Here is a 17490-nt window from a genome sequence, read left to right as displayed (position 1 = left end):
ACCATTGCACTCAAGCCTGGGCAATAAGAGCAAAACTCAGTCTCAAACAAACAAAAATAATCCAAATGTTCTTTTCTTACCCTTAAGTAGCAAATAAGATGCATTATACAAGCAGACCCAGGTAAGGGAAAGAGCAAGTTCATTTCAAGTCTCAGCTTACTTCTTAATTGGCTGTAATTCCCTATGGTTGACACTCCCTGCTTTAGCCTGTTTTCCTGGGGGTGGAGGGAGTGGTACTGGGCGAGTGCTGGTGCTTTATCGAATCAGTGGCACAGTTGGAGAGGAGGGCGTGGCATCCGGCATTTGGCGGGGCTTTTGTCTCTCGCTGCAGCCAGAGCTTGGGATCGCTTTCTGCTATTCAACGTCCTCCACCTCTGCCCCCCTCTCGCCCCAGCCGGTGACAGGCTGTTGCCCTGTGATCTGCAGGTCCTGGGACGTGCACAGACAGCTAAGATGCCAGGACATTCCAGAAGGTGGGAAAGGGTGAGTGTGAGGGGTTGAGCATCCCGAGAGGGGAGAGCTGGCTGAGAAACCGACGGGACTGGCCTCCTCACCGCTCCTGGGTTGCCGACCTGAGTCCCTGCTGGCGCAGCTCCGTCCCAGGTCCCTCTGGCCGCAAGATGGTGGCTGGGCCCGCAGCAATGACCCGCGCGTCCCGCCCAGTCCCTGCGGCGCCCTATCTGGAGCTCCCTGGGCAGCTCTGCACGCAGCCCCGAGTGTTTCCCAGATTGTTCAGGGATGCCAGGCGGGTCATCAGGGCAGAATCCCGACTCGTGTGTGCGTAGGAGGAGCTGTGGCCGGTGGGGCTCCCAGTCTCTTTTGTTAAACATTTTGTTGGTTTGTTTGAGACAAAGTCTTGCTCTGTCGCCGAGGCTGGAGTGCAATGGCGTGATCACTGCAACCTCCGCCTCCCAGGTTCAAGCGATTCTCGTGCCTAAGCCCCCCGAAAAGCTGGGATTAAAGACCTGCACCACCACGCCTGGCTGATTTTTGTATTTCTAGTAGAGAAGTGGTTTCGCCATGGTGGAAGCTGGTCTGGAACCCCTGGACTCAAGTGATCCCCCCACCGCCGCGGCCTCCCAAAGTGCTAAGATTACAAGCATGAGCCACCGCGCCCAGCTTCTTCTCTTGCAAAGTAAAGGGAGTCAACGTTAAAACGTTAACGAGTTTATCTGAGCAGTGATTAGTGAAATGGAAAGCACCCAGCCATAATATGTGGGCCACCTGAAAGGCAAAAAGGGAAGGGTTTTGAAAAGGGCGTGTGAGAAGGCAAACCAAATTCAAGAATTGGTTACAGTTTATGTAGTCACCTTATTTGTATGATTCGGGTGGAAATTTCCTGGTTATGTAATCAGAGGTTAATTGCAGGTTAAGCCTGAATTTTGTTTCTGCCTAAAATAATTTATAAGAAGTGAATCCGAGATAGGTTTTACATTTTTTACTTATGAACACAGGGCACTAGAGCCCCTTCAGTCTAATTTCCTGCTTTTTAAATAACACTCCACAGGAGGACTGGTTTTCCTCTGTGACTTCCTAATGTATGGCAAGCAGGACTTCTAATCCACTACCCTTTTACCCTAGCTTAACTCAGGCTTGTAGTAAAATTATAAATTTCCACCTTTGTTCCTACATTCTCAAAAGTGGAAATGAGAACAACTTCCTCTCTCCAATTTACAACACTATCAACTATTTGTCCTTTATTTTACATTTCAAACACAGTGTTTTTATTATTAATCATGTTCTTACACAGCAGTGGATGGCAGGTTTTAAAATAATTGTTGTCTGTATACAATTTTTTTTTTCTTTTTTTTTTTGGAGATGGAGTTTCACTCTTGTTGCCCAGGCTGGAGTGCAGTGCAATCCCCGCCTCCCAGATTCAAGCGATTCTCATGCCTCAGCCTCCCAAGTAGCTGGGATTACAGGCTCCCACCACCATGCCCGGCTAATTTTTGTATTTTTAGGAGAGACAGGGTTTCCTCATGTTGGCCAGGCTGCTCTTGAATTCTTGACCTCAGGTGATCCACCCGCCTCAACCTCCGAAGTCTGTAAACATGTTACGTGAGAAAATAATCCTCTGGAACTCCACTGTTAAAAAGAAAAAAAATCTCTGTGACTGTCCTTTTATCTTCCCTGGTGCATACACCTTGTTAGTAGGTCTTTCGGTTGAAGTTTTGCTTTGGAGAAATTCCAGGGCCCTTTGTGGCAGCCCTCCGGTCTTTTCTTGTTCATGATTTTCAGAACCGTCAGGGATAACCCAAGATGCCCACAGTGGCCATATCTCTTGGAGTGTCTAATGAATATCATCCCCTGGGTCATCTCTTAGAGGACAGCCTGAGGAGGAAGAGTGTAGCCTCTCAGAAGAGCAGCTGGATGGCTTAGGCCTGTGGAAATTTCCTCGCATACCATTTGTCTTAGAAAGCTAACCTTTTAGAAAATTAAAATTATTTTTTCACAAAGGAACGCGTATACACTGTTGATGGGAGTGTAAATTAGTTCAACCATTATGGAAGACAGTGTGGCAACTCCTTGAAGACCTAGAGACAAAATACCATTTGACCTAGCAATCCATTATTGGGTATTTACCCAAAGCAATGTGAATCATTCTATTATAAAGACACATGCATGCATATGTGCATTGCAGCACAATTCACAATAGCAAAGGCATGGAATCAACCTAAATGCCTATTAATGATAGACTGGATAAAGAAAGTGTAGTACATATACACCATGGAGTACTGTGCACCCATTAAAAAAAAATGAGATCATGTCCTTTGCAGGAACGTGGATAGAGCCATAAGACATTATTCTTAGCAAACAGAGGAATAGAAAACTAAATACTAGCTGGATGTGGTGGCTCACAGCTGTAATTCCAGCACTTTGGGAGGCCAAGGCAGGTGGATCATCTGAGGTCAGGAGTTTGATACCAGCCTGAGCAACATGGTGAAACCTCATCTCTACTAAAAATACAAAAAATTAGCCAGGCGTGGTGGCAGATGCCTGTAATCCCAGCTACTCAGGAGGATGAGGCAGGAGAATCTCTTGAACCCGGGAGGCAGAGGTTGCAGTGAGCTGAGATAGTGCCACTGCACTCCAGCCTGGGTGACAAGAGCGAAACTCCATCTCAAAAAAAAAAAAAAAAGCAAAACAAACTACTACATATTCTCACTTATAAGTGAGAGTCAAATGATGGGAACACATGGGCCCATAGAGGGGAAGAACACATACTGGGGCCTATTGGAGGAGGGAGAGGATCAGGAAAAATACCTAATGGGTACTAGGCCTTAATACTTGGGTGATGAAATAATCTGCACAACAAACCCCCGTGACACACGTTTACCTATGTAAAAAACTTGAACATATACCCTTGAACTTAAAAGTTAAAAAAAAAAGAATTTGGTAGCTTTTCCAATAATTCCCTGACAGCATTTTGATTTTATGTGTATATGACACCTATTAAGTATCAGACATTTGGATTACACAGATGAACAGGGTTCAACATACCTGCCCCATAGGAGTTTATAGTTCATTAGCATGGATAGGTGTGTAAATGATTAATTTATTCTGGAGAGAATAACCCTTGTACATAAAAAGACTTATAAAGTATTGAGGAGCTAAATGGTAATAGTGATCAATTCTGCCAGTGACATAGCACTGGGAAAATCAAGGAGGGCTTTATAGAGGATGTGACATTTGAGTGGGTGTCAGGGTTTACTAGAACTTTTTGTGTTAATGCTGCTAGTGCAGAGTATGCTTTTTTTTTGAGACAGTCTTTCTCTGTTGCCCAGGCTAAAGTGCAGTGGTGCAGTCTCGGCTCACTGCAACCTCTGCCTCCCAGCGATTCTCTCACCTCAGCCTCCCTCCGCCTTTAAGCGATTCTCTCACCTCAGCCTCCCAAGTAGCTGGAATTACAGGCATGAGCCACCACACCTGGCCGCAGAGTAAAAAATTATTTCCAGCTTGGCCAACATGGTGAAACCCCGTCTCTACTAAAAATACAAAAACATTAGTCAGGCATTGTGGCATGTGCCTCTTCCTGAGTTTTTTACCTTGGAAAGATTTTTTCACATTTCTATTTCAGTTTTTTAATAACTGTAACTTATATTTTATCAGAAGAGTTTAAAAGATGTTTAAAAAGTCAGACTATGAAAGGTATATTTCAGAAAAATCTACTCATATATTTTATGTATTAAAGATTCTTATTTACCTTTATCTTCTCCAGAGTGAGTGTAGTAAGTTTCTCATGTCTGCTTTTCCTGGTTGCATGATTTTAAATAGAACCCCAGGCTTTGCTTTGGGAATGCTACCAGAGAAAAGAAATAGGAAAAATCTTTTTTTCATTATGGCTATACAAAGTGAATATATTTCCACAAGCAAATGTGATAGATTAATTGGTGCATTGTATATATTTCTCAAACCATCAGCTCCTCTTTTTTGTGGTGTCTAGAATTTGTAACAGTGGATAATCTCTGTTCTGTATTCTGTTGTCTAGATGTCCAAGTTTAATGCTAAATTTTATGAGATGGAACTTGACATCTTCTAGAAATGTTCACATATGATTGTTTATTAAATTATCTATCATGGAAATAGTTAAATGAGATGTTTATCATCTGAAAAGGACAGATGCTTTTTTTTTTTTTTGAGATGGAATCTTGCTCTGTTGCCCAGGCTGGAGTGCATTGGCACAATCTCGGCTCAGTACAACCTTTGCCTCCTGAATTCAAGCGATTCTCCTGCCTCAGCCTCCCTAGTAGCTGGGATTACAGTTGCCAGCTGCCACACTCATCTAATTTTTGTATTTTTAGTAGAGATGGGTTTCACCATGTTGGCCAGGCTGGTCTCGAACTCCTGACTTCAGGTGATCCTCCTGCCTCGGCCTTCCAAAGTGCTGGGATTACAAGTGTGAGCCACCATGCCCAGCCTTACTTAAGCTTTTTATATTGTAGTTGAAAATTTAAGTCTTACAATTTCCTTACACTATTCTATAAACAGTGTGTTGGAGTGATTTTGCACTTTTTTGAAACATTGGTCATTTTTTTAATTATTATTATTTATTTATTTTTGAGACTGAGTCTCACTCTGTTACCCAGGCTGGAGTGCAGTGGCACGATCTTGGCTCACTGCAACCTGCGCCTCCCAGGTTTAAGGGAGCCTCCCAGGTTTAAGGGAATCTCGTGCCTCAGCCTTCTGAATAGCTGGGATTACAGGCGCATGCCACCACGCCCGGCTAATTTTTGTGTTTTTAGTAGAGATAGGGTTTCACCATGTTTGCCAGGCTGGTCTCGAACTCCTGACCTCAAGTGATCCACCTGCCTCAGCCTTCCAAAGTGCTGCAATTACAGGCGTGAGCCATCATGTCTGGCCATACATTGGTCATTTTCTTATTTCAAACTAAGTGAATAATCCTGACTGGGAAGTAGAAGCCTGAACTCAGTGACTGCAAGCTAAGGATAGTTTTGCCTGCAAAGGGAGATCATTGAAAAAGCAGCTCTTCTGCCTGAGGAGCCTCCCCTGCAGATGTCCTGGCCTGCTCACAATAGCCATGGACAGAGCCTTTATACTTAGAGAAGCCACAGAGCCTTGAAAACCTTGAAATCCACAGGCAGATGCAGTTGGGATTGGCACAAAGGTGGGGTTGGGAGGCTCTTTCTGGGAATGGAGTTGTTATTGTTCTGAGGTTGTTTCTAGATTTTGTAAAATATGATGAATCTAGATTTAGGTAAGAAGTTATTTATTTATTTATTTTTATTTTATTTTTTTTTTTTTTTGAGCCAGGGTCTCATTCTGTTACTCACACTGTAGTACAGTGGCATGATCTCGGCTCACTGCAACCTCAGTCTCTCAGATTCAAGCCATTCTCCTGCCACAGCCTCCCTAGTAGTTGGGACTACAAGCAGGCTCATCAACACCCACCTAATTTTTGTATTTCTAGTCAGAAGGTTTTGCAAAGCCTCCTGGGAGAATAGCTGAAGGCAGCTGCTTTATAACCCTGAGGCAGAGGGCAAGGAGTAGGTACAACAGAGTATAGGGGAATTTATCTTAAACAGGCTTGTTTACTTTTATTGACCAGGAACTGACCTTTGATCATCAGTGCGAGTGATGTTCCCTGAACTTTTTTGGTTTTATTTTTCCTTCCTTCCTACCTTTCTTTCTTCTCTCCTTCCTCCTTTCCTTCTGCTTTGTGTTCCCAGGGCTGGTGTCAAAATTCTGTGCTCAAGCAATTCTCCCATTTCAGCTTCCCAAAGTGTTGAGATTACAGGTTTGAGCCACCATGCTCTGTCCTCTTTTATTTTCTTCTTGTTTTTCCTTTTCATTCTTCCTTTTCCTCTCTTCCTCCCTCCCTCCCTCCCTCCCTTCTTCCCCATCATCTTTTTTTTTTTTTTTTTTTTTTTTCCGAGATGGAGTCTCACTCTGTCACCCAGGGAGTGATGGGAAGCTCACAGACTTAGACGCCAGAGGGACGTTTTCAGGGGCGAGCGCCACACATGGCCTGCAGGGTGGACACGTTGGCTTCTCGGTCTGGCCACCGGGTGACCAGATGTGGGTGGCGAGCTGTGGCCAGTAGTTGTGGCTGCTGGCCTCTCGTTTGGGTGGACCAGGGATTCAAAGCTTAGGAAGGAAGGTCGGCAGACTTAGAGGCTGGCTGCGGAGGTGGGCCGCCTTGGGGGAAATAAGGTTCCAACAGGGACAGCTTCAGGCCGCGAGTGCCACATGTGGCCTGTACGGTAGACACAGTGGGCTTCTGCTTCTGCCTCCACCACCAGCTGGCTTCTCTTTCTGGCTGCCAGGTGTACAGGATGTGGGCCACGAGCGTAGGACTTGGTTGCCAGCTGGAAATGTTTACGGTGGACCAGATGGCTCTCACCGGGACAGTACAGCTTCGGTCCAGCAGAGGAGTTCAATGATGGCTCACTGCACTCTTTACCTTCCTAGGCTCATCCAGTTGATCCTCTTATTTTGGCCTCCCAAATAGCTGGGGCTCTCAGGATCTTTCTGTTTCTTTTTCTTTTCCTTTTTTTTTTTTAGCACCACTTTGAGTTTGTTTTCACAGTACATTGAGTTCTGTTGTTTTTTTCTTTTTTTCTCTTTGTCTCTCTTGCTCCTTCCCGTACACTGAAGTTGCTGTTGTTTTAGATTTCTTTCACCCAGGCTAAAGTGCAGGTGCATGATCACAGCTCACTGCAGCCTCGACCTCCCTGGGCTCAGGTGATCCTCCCGTCTCAGACACCCCACTTCCCAGTAGCTGGGACTAAAGGCATGCGCCACCACACTGGCGCTTTATTTTGTATATTTTACTTTTTATTTTTGTAGAGATAGGGTCCCATCATGTTTTCCAGGCTGATCTCAAACTCCTGCAGCCAGACGATGTGCTGGCCTAGACCTCTCAAATTACTGAGCTTACAGGCGTGAGCCACCATGACTGGTTCTATCTATATCTATCTATCTGTCTATCTGTGTGTCTCTCTGTCTACCAATCAATCATCTATGTTTTTTTTTTTTTTTCAGTAGAGATGTGTTCTTGCTATGTTTTTCAGGCGCTGGTCATATATATATATATATTTTTTTAACTGTAATTATTATTTTTTAATATAGGTGTTGTCTCACCATGTGGCCCCCAGGATAGTCTCAAAATCCTAGGCTCCAGATATTCTCCCGCCTTGGCCTCCCAAACTGCTGGGATTACAGGCATGAGCCACTGTGCCTGGTTTGGTCATTTTTTTTTTTTTTTTTTTTTTTTTTTGAGATGGAGTTTCACTCTCATTGCCCAGGCTAGAGCGCAATGGCGCAATCTCGGCTCACCACAATCTCCGCTTCCTGGATTCAAGCAAATCTCCTGCCTCAGCCTCCCGAGTAGCTGGGATTATAGGCATGTGCCAGCACACTGGCTAATTTTGTATTTTTAGCAGAGACGGGGTTTTTCCATGTTGGTCAGGCTGGTCTAAACTCCCGACCTCCGGTGATCCGCCCGCCTCGGCCTCCCAAAGTGCTGGGATTACAGGCGGGAGCCACTGTGCCCGGCCTGGTCATATTTTTGATGTGTTGATTCTTCCCAGTCCAGATGTATAATCTCATCCCTGAACATTTTTGATAGTGTAATTATGACATATGACTTTACCCGACACCAGAGTGAGTTGATGCTCCTGCCCAGCTTACAGAAGGGATTGTGACATATCACTGGACCCAGCACCAAAGTGATGTAACTGTTCTACTGCTTTGGCACTTCCCACAGTGGGCATTGTGACATATCACTGGGTCTTGTACCCAGATGGTGTGAATCTTCTCTCCAGCCTGGCTCTTTCACAGGGGGCATTGTGTCATATTGCTGGGCCCCACACATAGGTTATGTGAGTCTCCTGCCTGTGCCCTACCCATGTAGGCCATTGTGACATATTGCTGGGTCCAACACCCAGGTGATGTAACTCTACTGCCTCGGTCCTGCCTACAGCGGACATTGTGATATAACCCTGCACCCATCACACAGGTAATGTGACTCTCTTCTCCTGCCTGGCCCCTGCTCACAGAAGGGATTGTGACATATCACTGGGCTCAGCACCTAGCTAATGTGACTTTTCTCCTCTTCCTGTGTTTTGCCTGCAGGGGATATTGTGAAATGTCACTAGGCCTAATACTAAGGTGACATTACTCTTTTGTCATGGCACTGCCCTCAGAAGGTATGGTGATATATTGCTGGGCCCAGAACAAATGTGATATGAGTCTCCTGCCTGGACCCTGCTTACAAGGTGTATTGTAACATATCTGGGGCCCTTTGACTATTTTATTTATTTTATGTTATTTATTTTAATTTTATTTTTGAGACAGAGTCTCACTCTGTCACCCAGGCTGGAGTGCAGTGGTGTGATCTCAACTCACTTCAACCTTTGCCTCCTGGGTTCAAGTGATTCTCCTGCCTCAGCCTCCTGAATAGCTGAGGTTACAGGTGTGCACCACCACGCCTGGCTAATTTTTGTATTTTTAGTAGAGACGAGGTATCACCATGTTGGCCAGACTGGTCTCAAACCCCTGACCTCAGCCGATCTGCCCGACTCAGCCTCCCAATGTGCTGGGATTATAGGGGTGAGCCATTTCGCTTGGCCCTTTTTGACTATTTTATGTGACTCTACTCTCTTACCTGGACATTGCCCAAAAAGAGATTGTGACATATCTTTGGGCCCAGCACCAAGGTGATTTGACTCTCCTTTTCTGCGTGGGCCTTGCCCATAGTAGAGAGAGTGACTTATTGCTGAGTTTAGCATACAGGTGATAGATTCTTCTGCTGGCTCCCAAAAGTCACTGTAAGATATATCTGGGCCAATTGCTGAGATTGTGTGACTCTTCTCCTGGGACCTGTCCACAGTGGGGATTGTGGCATATTGCTTGGCCAAGTACCTACATGATATGACTCTTTTCTTAGGTCTGGGCCCTGCCCACTGAAGTAATTTTGACACATAGCTGGGCCCAGCTCAAAGGTTATGTGACTTCACACTTCTTCCTGAGCCCTACCCATGAGGGCCATGGTGTCTTATCTCTGAGACCGCTTATTAGGTGATGTGACTCTTTATTTTTTTTGAGATGGAGCCTGGCTCTGTTGCCCATAATTTAGAAGATGTGACTCTTTTGCGCCAGAATGGGTACTGTGACATATTGCTGAACCCGTTACATAGGTGATGTGACTCTCTTGCATGGGCCCTCCTCCTAAGGGGGTAGCGTGACACATTACTGAGCCCAGTACATAGGTGATGCGACTCTTTTCTATGGCTTTGCCCAAGCAGGGATTTGTGATGTGTTGCTGGACTCACCACCTATGTGTTATGACTCTCCTCTTCTGCCTAAGCCCTAAATGCATTGTGTGTTGTGACATATGCCTGGATTCAGCACTTAGGTGATACAACTTTATGACATGGGAACTGCCCACGGAAGTATTATGACATGTCTCCTTTCCATCACCTAGGTTATGTGACCCTTTTATTTTTCTTATTTCTGGCATATTTTGGATATAGTGATGTATCATTGAGTTCAACAGACATGAGATGGGAGGCTTCTGCCTGAGCCCAGCACATAAGTGGCCTTGTGACATATCTTTGTACCCATTATCTTTGAGATTTAACCCCCCTTTTCTGCCTGCACCCTCACCACTGGAAAGATTGTGATGAATCACTGTTCTCAGGAATCAGGTGATCTGTTTTTCCTTCCTGGTCCTTGCCCACAGATCATTGTAACATATCACTGGGCCTAGCATCCAGGTGATGTGACTGCTGACTGTATTCTGCTTTCAGGAGGAGACTGTAACGTATCCCTAATTGAGCACCCAGGTGGTGTGACACTTCTGCCCTGTCCCTGCCCTCAGAGGAGATTCTGACATATCACTGCCCCAAAATGCAGGTGCTGTGAGTCTACTAGTCAGTCCCTTTTCATTGGTGGGATTGTGATGCATATCTTGTTCAAACTTAAAGGTGCAATAATGATTTTCAAACTTCGAAAAAACCAATAGCAGATACACTATCTCTCATAGCCAGGGTCAGGAAAATGAGTAATGTCTTGGGTCTCCTCTTTGTATGAAGGTCATAAAGAACACTCTGTCACATACTGTGTAAAGTTGTCAAGAGGTACAGAGAATGTCCTAACAGAACTCAGCACACAGAGGAGGTTGTGACACTCATATGCATAGCCTGCCAACAGTAAAGACTGTCATCCTTCCACATAAACACAGCTCACTGTTGAGGTTCTGAAGCTCTTATGCAGATGCAGTCAAAAGTTGGAAAATTGAATCTCATTATGTGAATTCGATCCATAGAGATGTTAGTGTCTCTGACACCAAGATTCAGCACACCTGTGAGTCGGTGACTTCACTAAAATGACACAATTTGCAGGAGGGATTGAGGTTCTCATATGCAAATTCAGACTATCATTGAGATTGTCACTCAGGTACTTACACCCAAGATACAGAGGGAATTATGTCTCAGCTAGAACTAAAAAATGTGTGAAATTGTTAATCTCATACCTCAACCTTAATTCAGCTGTGTTTGTGACATACACCTTTTTTTAGCACCTGAGTAATTTGACTCTCCTGCCTGGACCCAGCGTACAGATGGGATTGTGCTTCATTGCTGGACCCAGCATTTAGGTAATGTGAGTCTATTCTTATTTCACAGAGGGCATTTTCACAGAGGGCAAGGGAGGATTGTGGCATATCACTAGACCCAGCAACTAGGTGTTGCAATTCTCCTGTTTTTCCTCGGCCTCACATATTTTTGGTATTGTAAATATTACTAGGCCCACTACCTATGAGATTGCATGCTCCTGCCTGGGCTGTGCCCACAGTGACCTTGTGACATATATCTGCATCCATGACCTAAAAGATGTGACACTTCTTGCCTGCAACCTGCCCTGCACAGGAAAGATTGCGACTTCTCCCTGGAAGCAGACACCAGGTGATGTGGCTCTCCTGCCTCTGTCTTGCCCCCAGGGAGCATTGTGACATAATGCTGAGCTCAGCACTTAGGTGTTGTGACTGTTGCCTATGCTGTGCTTTCAGGAGAGAACTGTAACATATCCCTGGATGAGCACCCAGGTGATGTGATATTCCTGCTTGGTTCTTTCCCTCAGGGAAGATTGTGAGATACCCTTGGCTGAAATCCCAGGTGATGTGACTCTCCTGCTAACTCTCTACCTACAGGTTAAATGGAGGCATGTACTGTAGTCAGCTTATAAGTGTAATGATGACTCTCATACCTCTAGTCAGCTATTAGAAGAAATACTGTCTCTCATAGCTCGACTTAGAAAAATGAGTCACATTCTTGGTCTTCTCTTTTTATGAAGGTCATACAGAATTGCCACCCTCCAACATATCATATAATGCCCTCGAGTGTTACAAAGAGTGTTATCCCAAGGCACACAGCACAAAGGTGAGATTGTTTCTTATATGCACACCTCACCAACCATTAGGATTATCACCCTTACACATGAAAAGAGCCCATTGCTGAGGTCTTGAATCTCAAATGCAAACACTGTCCAGAGTTGGAATTGTGACTGTCATATATGAGCCTCCGGCCACAGTTGAGATGGTGACACACTTCTAAACTCAGAACATAGCAGATGAGGACTCTACTATATAAACCCTACCAACTGGAGAGATGTTGGCTCTAATACCTGGACTTAGAGCCACAAGTATGGTCATGGGTGCTTACAAACATGACTTTAGAGTAAATTGTGACTCTTATTTATACTGGATAAAGCCTTTGAGTAGTATAGAGAGTGTACTAGCTGGGCGCCATGGCTCATGCCTGTTATCCCAGCACTTTGGGAGGCTGAGGCAGGTAGATCATGAGTCAGGAGTTTGAGACAAGCCTGGCCAACATGGTGAAAACCTGCCTCTACTAAAATTGCAAAAAATCAGCTGAGCATGGATGTGGCCGCCTACTGGGCCTTTCCTGCAGGCCCTGGCTGATGGATAGAATTAGTACTCAGACACAGGTATGCAGTGTAACAGCAGCTAGATAATGGCCTGCCTCTAGTGGCCAGAGAGCTGCCCCAAGAAGCTGGAGCTGCTTGCTTTCTTTCAGTGCAGGCACAATGCCAAAAACCTGGAGCAAACACAACCTGCAGGTAATTAACATTTATTGTTCTCCTTTCAGGGATCGTCACTCCCGTGGATGATCAAAGGTCAGTTCCTGGTCAATATAAGTAAACAAGCCTGTTTAAGATAAATTCCCCTACACTCCACTGTACCTACTCCTGGCCCTCTGCCTCAGGGTTATAAAGCAGCTGCCTTCAGCTATTCTCCCCTGGGTCTTTGCAGAACCTTCCGAACTTTCAGAAGGTTTGCGTCCTTTCCCTATAGTTTTTCTTACCATTCTGACTGATCCCTCACAGGCGCCTGTAATTTCAGCTACTCCGGGGGCTGAGGCAGGAGAATCGCTTGAACTCGGGAAGCAGAAGTTGCAGTGAGCCAAGGTCGCACCACTGCACTCCAGCCCAGGCGACATTGTGAGACTCCATCTCAAAAAAAAAAAAAAGAAAAAAAGTGTACTAACAAGACCCAGCACACAGAGGAGACTTTTACCATTGTATGAACACCCATCAAACAGTACACATCATCATTGTGAGTTCTGAATCTCACACATAGAGGAAGTCAAAGGTGGAAAACTTGACTCTCATATTTGGATCCAGTCCACAGGTGAGTTGGTGACATTCAGAGCAAGAATCAGCACGCCTATGAGGCTGTGACTTCACTAATTAGACTAAGTCCACAGCAGGAGTATGGGCTGTTAGGTACAAATTTTGTCTACTGTTGAGATTGTAACTCCTGTTCTTAGACACAACATATAGGAAGGGTTAACCTCCTATACCTAAAACCGGAACATGTGTGGGATTGTTAATTTGATCCCTGCACCTTCTCACAGGTTTACTTGGAACATATTTCTCTGCCCAGCACCTGAGTGATCTGACTGTCTTGCCTACAGATGGAATAGTGACATATAGCTGAACCCAGAACTGACTCTCTTTTTCTGCATTGGTGCTGCTCACAGGGGGCATTGTGACATATCGCTGGGCCTTGCACTTAGGTGATGTGAGTCTCCTTTGCCTTGGCACTGCCCACAGAATGCATTGTCACATATCTCTGGGCCCCACACCAGGTTTTTTGACTTTCCTACCTGTCACCTGACCACATAAGCAATTGTGACATATTGCTGGGACATACACCCTGGTAATGCAACTCTACTACCCACAAGGAGCATTGTGACATATATTTTCACACCTCACCCACATGATGTGACTTTCTTCTCCTGCCTGGTCCCTGCTCACAGGGGGAGTTGCGACATATCATGTGGCTCAGTACCAAACAAGTGTGATTCTTCTTCCATCATAGGTTCTGCTAGCAAGGAAGACTGAGACATATTGTGGGGCTCTACGCCAATGTGACATTACTGTTCTGCCTTGGCCTGTACCTGAAAAGGCATTGTGACATATTGCTGGGCCCAGCAACAAGGTGGCATGAGTCTTCCGTATGGACCCTGACAACAGAGCATTGTGACATATCTTTAAGAGCATCAACTATTTGATGTGACTCTCCTTTTCTACCAAGGCTTTCCTCATATGAGAGATTGTGACACATCTTCTGGCACAGAAATCAAGTGATGTGTTTCTCCTGCCTGAGCTTTGCTCATAGAAAGCATTGTGACATATCTCTGGTCTCAGCACCCAGGTAATGTGACTCTACTCTCTGTGCCCTGATTTCAGGAGAAAATTTATATGCCTAAGCACCCAGTTTTTAACTCTTCTGCCTTGTGCCTGTTCTCAGAGAAGATTGTGACATATACCTGGCCTATTACACAGATGATATAAGTCTCCTGCTCTCTCCCTATCCACAGGGGAGATTGTGACATATATCTTTGTTCAGATCATTGGTGCAATGTTGACTCTCATATCTGAAATCAGCCAATAGGAGACATACTATCTCTCATATGTGGGCTTAGGAAAATGGGTAAGATTCTGGCTCTCCCCTTTGTAGGAAGGTTAAAGAAAATTACAGTCTCTCCCATATTGTATAAAGCCCTCCAGTGCTCCAGAAAGTGTCATAACAGGGTCCAGAAAACGAGATTGTTTTATATTTGCACAGTTTGCCAATTGTTAAGATTGTCACCCTCATCCATGGACAGAGCCTACTGGTGAGGTCTTAAATTTTACATGTGGATGCAGTGCAGAGTTAAAATTGTGACTGTCATATGTGAACATCAGGCAACATGAGGTGGTGACTCATTAGCCTAGCTTATAGGCAGGTGTCAACTCTCATATCTGGACCCAGCCATTACAGAGATGTTGACTCTCTCATCTGAGCATAGAGCCACAGGTATGATCATGGGCCCATACCAGCACAAATGTTTCCTAGTCACAAAAGATTGTGACTCTCATGCATACCTTATAAATCCTCGGTTGGTACAGAGAGTATTCTAGCTAGACTCAGTGTACAGCTGTTTTGACATTCCTGTATACCCAGTCGACAGTAAAGATTATCATCTTTTCACAAGAACGGTCCACTGGAAATTCTGAATCTCATATGCAGAGACAGTTGCAAGTTGTAAAATTTACTCATAAGTGAATCCAGTCCAAAGGTAAGTTGGTGACTTTCAGACCAAGATTGAACACACCTGTTTGTCTGATTCCACTAAGGTGACACAGCCAGTAAGAGGGATTGAGTCTCTCATTCAGTGATTCAGCTCATTCTAAAAATTGTGACTATGTACTTAGACCCAACATACAGGAGGTGTTGACTCTCATACCAAGAATTAGGGTACGTACAGGATTGTTAATCTCATCTCTGGTCTTTCCTTCAGGTGTGATTTTGACGCACACTTCTGCCCAGCACCTGAGTAATGTGATTCTTCAGAATTGGCCCGGCCCACAAATAGGATTGTGCCACACTGCTGGACCCAGTGCCTAAGTGATGTAACTCTATTCTTCTGCCTTGGTGCTACTCGAAAAAGACATTGTAACATATCTCAGAGCCTTACACCCAGGTAATGTGAGTCTCCTCTTCTGCCTTGCTGCTGCACACAGAAGCGGAATATGTACAGGATTGTTAATCTCATCTTGGATCTTCCTGCACTTGTGATTGTGACACATGCCTCTGTGTAGAACCTGAGTGAGTTTACTCTCCTGCCTGGATTTAACCCATAGATGGAATCGTGACATATCACTGTACCAGAAACTAGGTGATGTGACTCTATTTTCTTGCCTCTGTGTTTTTATATGGGGCATCGTGACATATCACTGGGCCTTGCACCCAAGTGATGGGAGTTTTCTCTCCTGCTTTGGTGCCGTCCACAATGAAAATTGTGAAATATTGCTGCCCTCCCCACTAGGTTATGTTACTCTCCTGCCTCTGCTTTGCCCACATGGGTCACTGTGACATATTGCTGGGTCTAAAACCCAGGTAATGTCACTCTCTTGTTTGGGTTCTGCCTGCAGGAGTCATTGTCACATATCTCTATGCTCATCACCCAGGTAATATGATTCCCTTTTACTGCTTAGTTCCTTCTCACAAAACAACTTGTGACATATTGCTAGGCCCAATACACCTAGCTGGTGTAACTCTTCTTTTCTTTTCTTTCCTTTTTTTTTTTTTTTTTTTGAGATGGAGTCTCACTCTGTTGCCCAGGCTGGAGTGCAGCGGCATGATTTCAGCTCACTACAGCCTCTGCCTCCTAGGTTGAAGCGATTGTCCTGACTTGGCCTCCCAAGTAGCTGGGATTAAAGGCATGTGCCACCACGCCCGGCTAATTTTTGTATTTATAGTAGAGACAGGGTTTCGCCATGTTGGCTAGGCTGGTTTCGAACTTCTAACCTCAGGTGATCCTCCTGCCTCGGCCTCCCAAAGTACTGGAATTACAGGCATGAGCCACTGCACCTGGCCTGATTCTTCTCTTCTTTCTAGGTTTCAACTGCAGCAGAGATTGTAACAAACCACTGGGCCCAGCCGCATAATGATGTTACTCTTTTGCCTTGGGCCTGCCCTCAGAAGGCACTGTCACATATTCATGGGCCCAACGCCAAGGTGATATGTGTCTCCAGCCTGGACCCTGCCCACAGGGGGCATTGTGACATATCTCTTGGCCCATCAGATGTTTGATTGTTATCCCCTCCCCTCTTCTACCCTGTGTTTGCCTATAAAAGACACAGTCATATGTTCCTGGGCCCAGCACCTAGGTGTTGTCTTACTGGAATGTGTCCACATGGGGATTGTGATATGTCACGTGGCCCAGTACTTAACTTGATGTGACTCTCCTCTCATGCCTAGGCCTTGTAGAGAATCCCCTTCCCCTTTTGTTTTCCTTTTTTTCTTTGCAGATCCAGGAGATAATCAACTAAGAGCCAGGCACCCGTTTAGGTCTAATAAACATTTTACAAACTGCTCTCTCTTTTAATTCACCTATCTGAGAGATTCCTCTGTACAATAAAACTTGGTCTCCACAATCCTTTACCTTAACCTAAACCTTCCCTTTCATTGATCCCAGGTCTTCAGATTCCACCACTTGTCAACCACAAAATATTTAAATTTACCTGGAAGCCGCCCGCTTTGAGTTGTCCCGCCTTTCTGAACCAAACCAATATATTCCTGCAAAACCGGCCATGATTAAAACATCAAAAAATAATACATGTTGGCGTGGCTGTGGTGAAAAAAGAATACTTTTTCACTGCTGGTGGGTATGTAAACTAGTACAACCACTATGAAAAACAGTATGGAGATTCATTAAATAAAAGTAAAGCTACCATTTGATTAAGCAATTCTACTACTGTGTATCTACATGAAGAAAAAGAAATTATATGTGTAAGACACTTGCACACACATGTTTATAGCAGCACAATTTGCAATTGCAAAAATATGGAAGCAGCCTAATGCCCATCAGCTAATGAGTGGAAAAAGAAAATGTGGCATATATATACCAATGCATACTACTCAGCCCTAACGAGGAATAAAATAATAGCATTTGCAGC

The 17490-nt window shown here is 44.8% G+C and overlaps 2 long non-coding RNA genes across 6 annotated transcripts in view, besides 2 other annotated features; one reads left to right on the top strand and one right to left on the bottom strand.

Moving 5' to 3' along the window:
• LOC105372335 (uncharacterized) overlaps positions 1 to 13855 on the bottom strand; it is a 35695-nt gene extending 21840 nt beyond the window's left edge. Inside the window, exons 1-3 of one of the 4 annotated variants that reach the window (XR_936480.3) lie at positions 13754 to 13855; positions 4205 to 4300; positions 2021 to 2085 (exon numbers count right to left, since the gene is read on the bottom strand). This is a non-coding gene — a long non-coding RNA (uncharacterized LOC105372335). Of the gene's footprint in view, positions 1 to 2020; positions 2086 to 4204; positions 4301 to 6140; positions 6222 to 13753 lie in introns of those variants that run through there. The other 3 variants (XR_936481.3, XR_936482.3, XR_007067208.1) reach the window with 3 other exon arrangements.
• Positions 23 to 678: an enhancer, noted in NCBI's record as "NANOG-H3K27ac hESC enhancer chr19:23598501-23599156 (GRCh37/hg19 assembly coordinates)". NCBI's record gives its function as "activates a minimal SCP1, AML or CMV promoter by ChIP-STARR-seq in naive and primed H9 embryonic stem cells {active_cell/tissue: H9 hESC(naive and primed)}" and the evidence as "EXISTENCE:reporter gene assay evidence [ECO:0000049][PMID:30033119]".
• LINC01224 (long intergenic non-protein coding RNA 1224) lies at positions 303 to 17144 on the top strand. 2 transcript variants are annotated; one of them, NR_126448.1, is made up of 6 exons: positions 303 to 483; positions 11042 to 11119; positions 11269 to 11426; positions 12630 to 12657; positions 12868 to 13171; positions 15330 to 17144. It is a non-coding gene; the product is annotated as a long intergenic non-protein coding RNA 1224 (long non-coding RNA). The 2 variants fall into 2 exon arrangements; NR_126449.1 differs by lacking the exon at positions 11269 to 11426 and having other exon boundaries at positions 12884 to 13171.
• Positions 679 to 1336: an enhancer, noted in NCBI's record as "H3K27ac hESC enhancer chr19:23597843-23598500 (GRCh37/hg19 assembly coordinates)". NCBI's record gives its function as "activates a minimal SCP1, AML or CMV promoter by ChIP-STARR-seq in naive H9 embryonic stem cells {active_cell/tissue: H9 hESC(naive)}" and the evidence as "EXISTENCE:reporter gene assay evidence [ECO:0000049][PMID:30033119]".
• Positions 17145 to 17490: the final 346 nt, after the last annotated feature.

Source organism: Homo sapiens, chromosome 19 (genome assembly GCF_000001405.40).
Source record: "Homo sapiens chromosome 19, GRCh38.p14 Primary Assembly".
NCBI lineage: Eukaryota > Metazoa > Chordata > Mammalia > Primates > Hominidae > Homo > Homo sapiens.
Note: the sequence above shows the minus strand (reverse complement) of the source record. Positions and strands in the feature narration are given on the sequence as shown.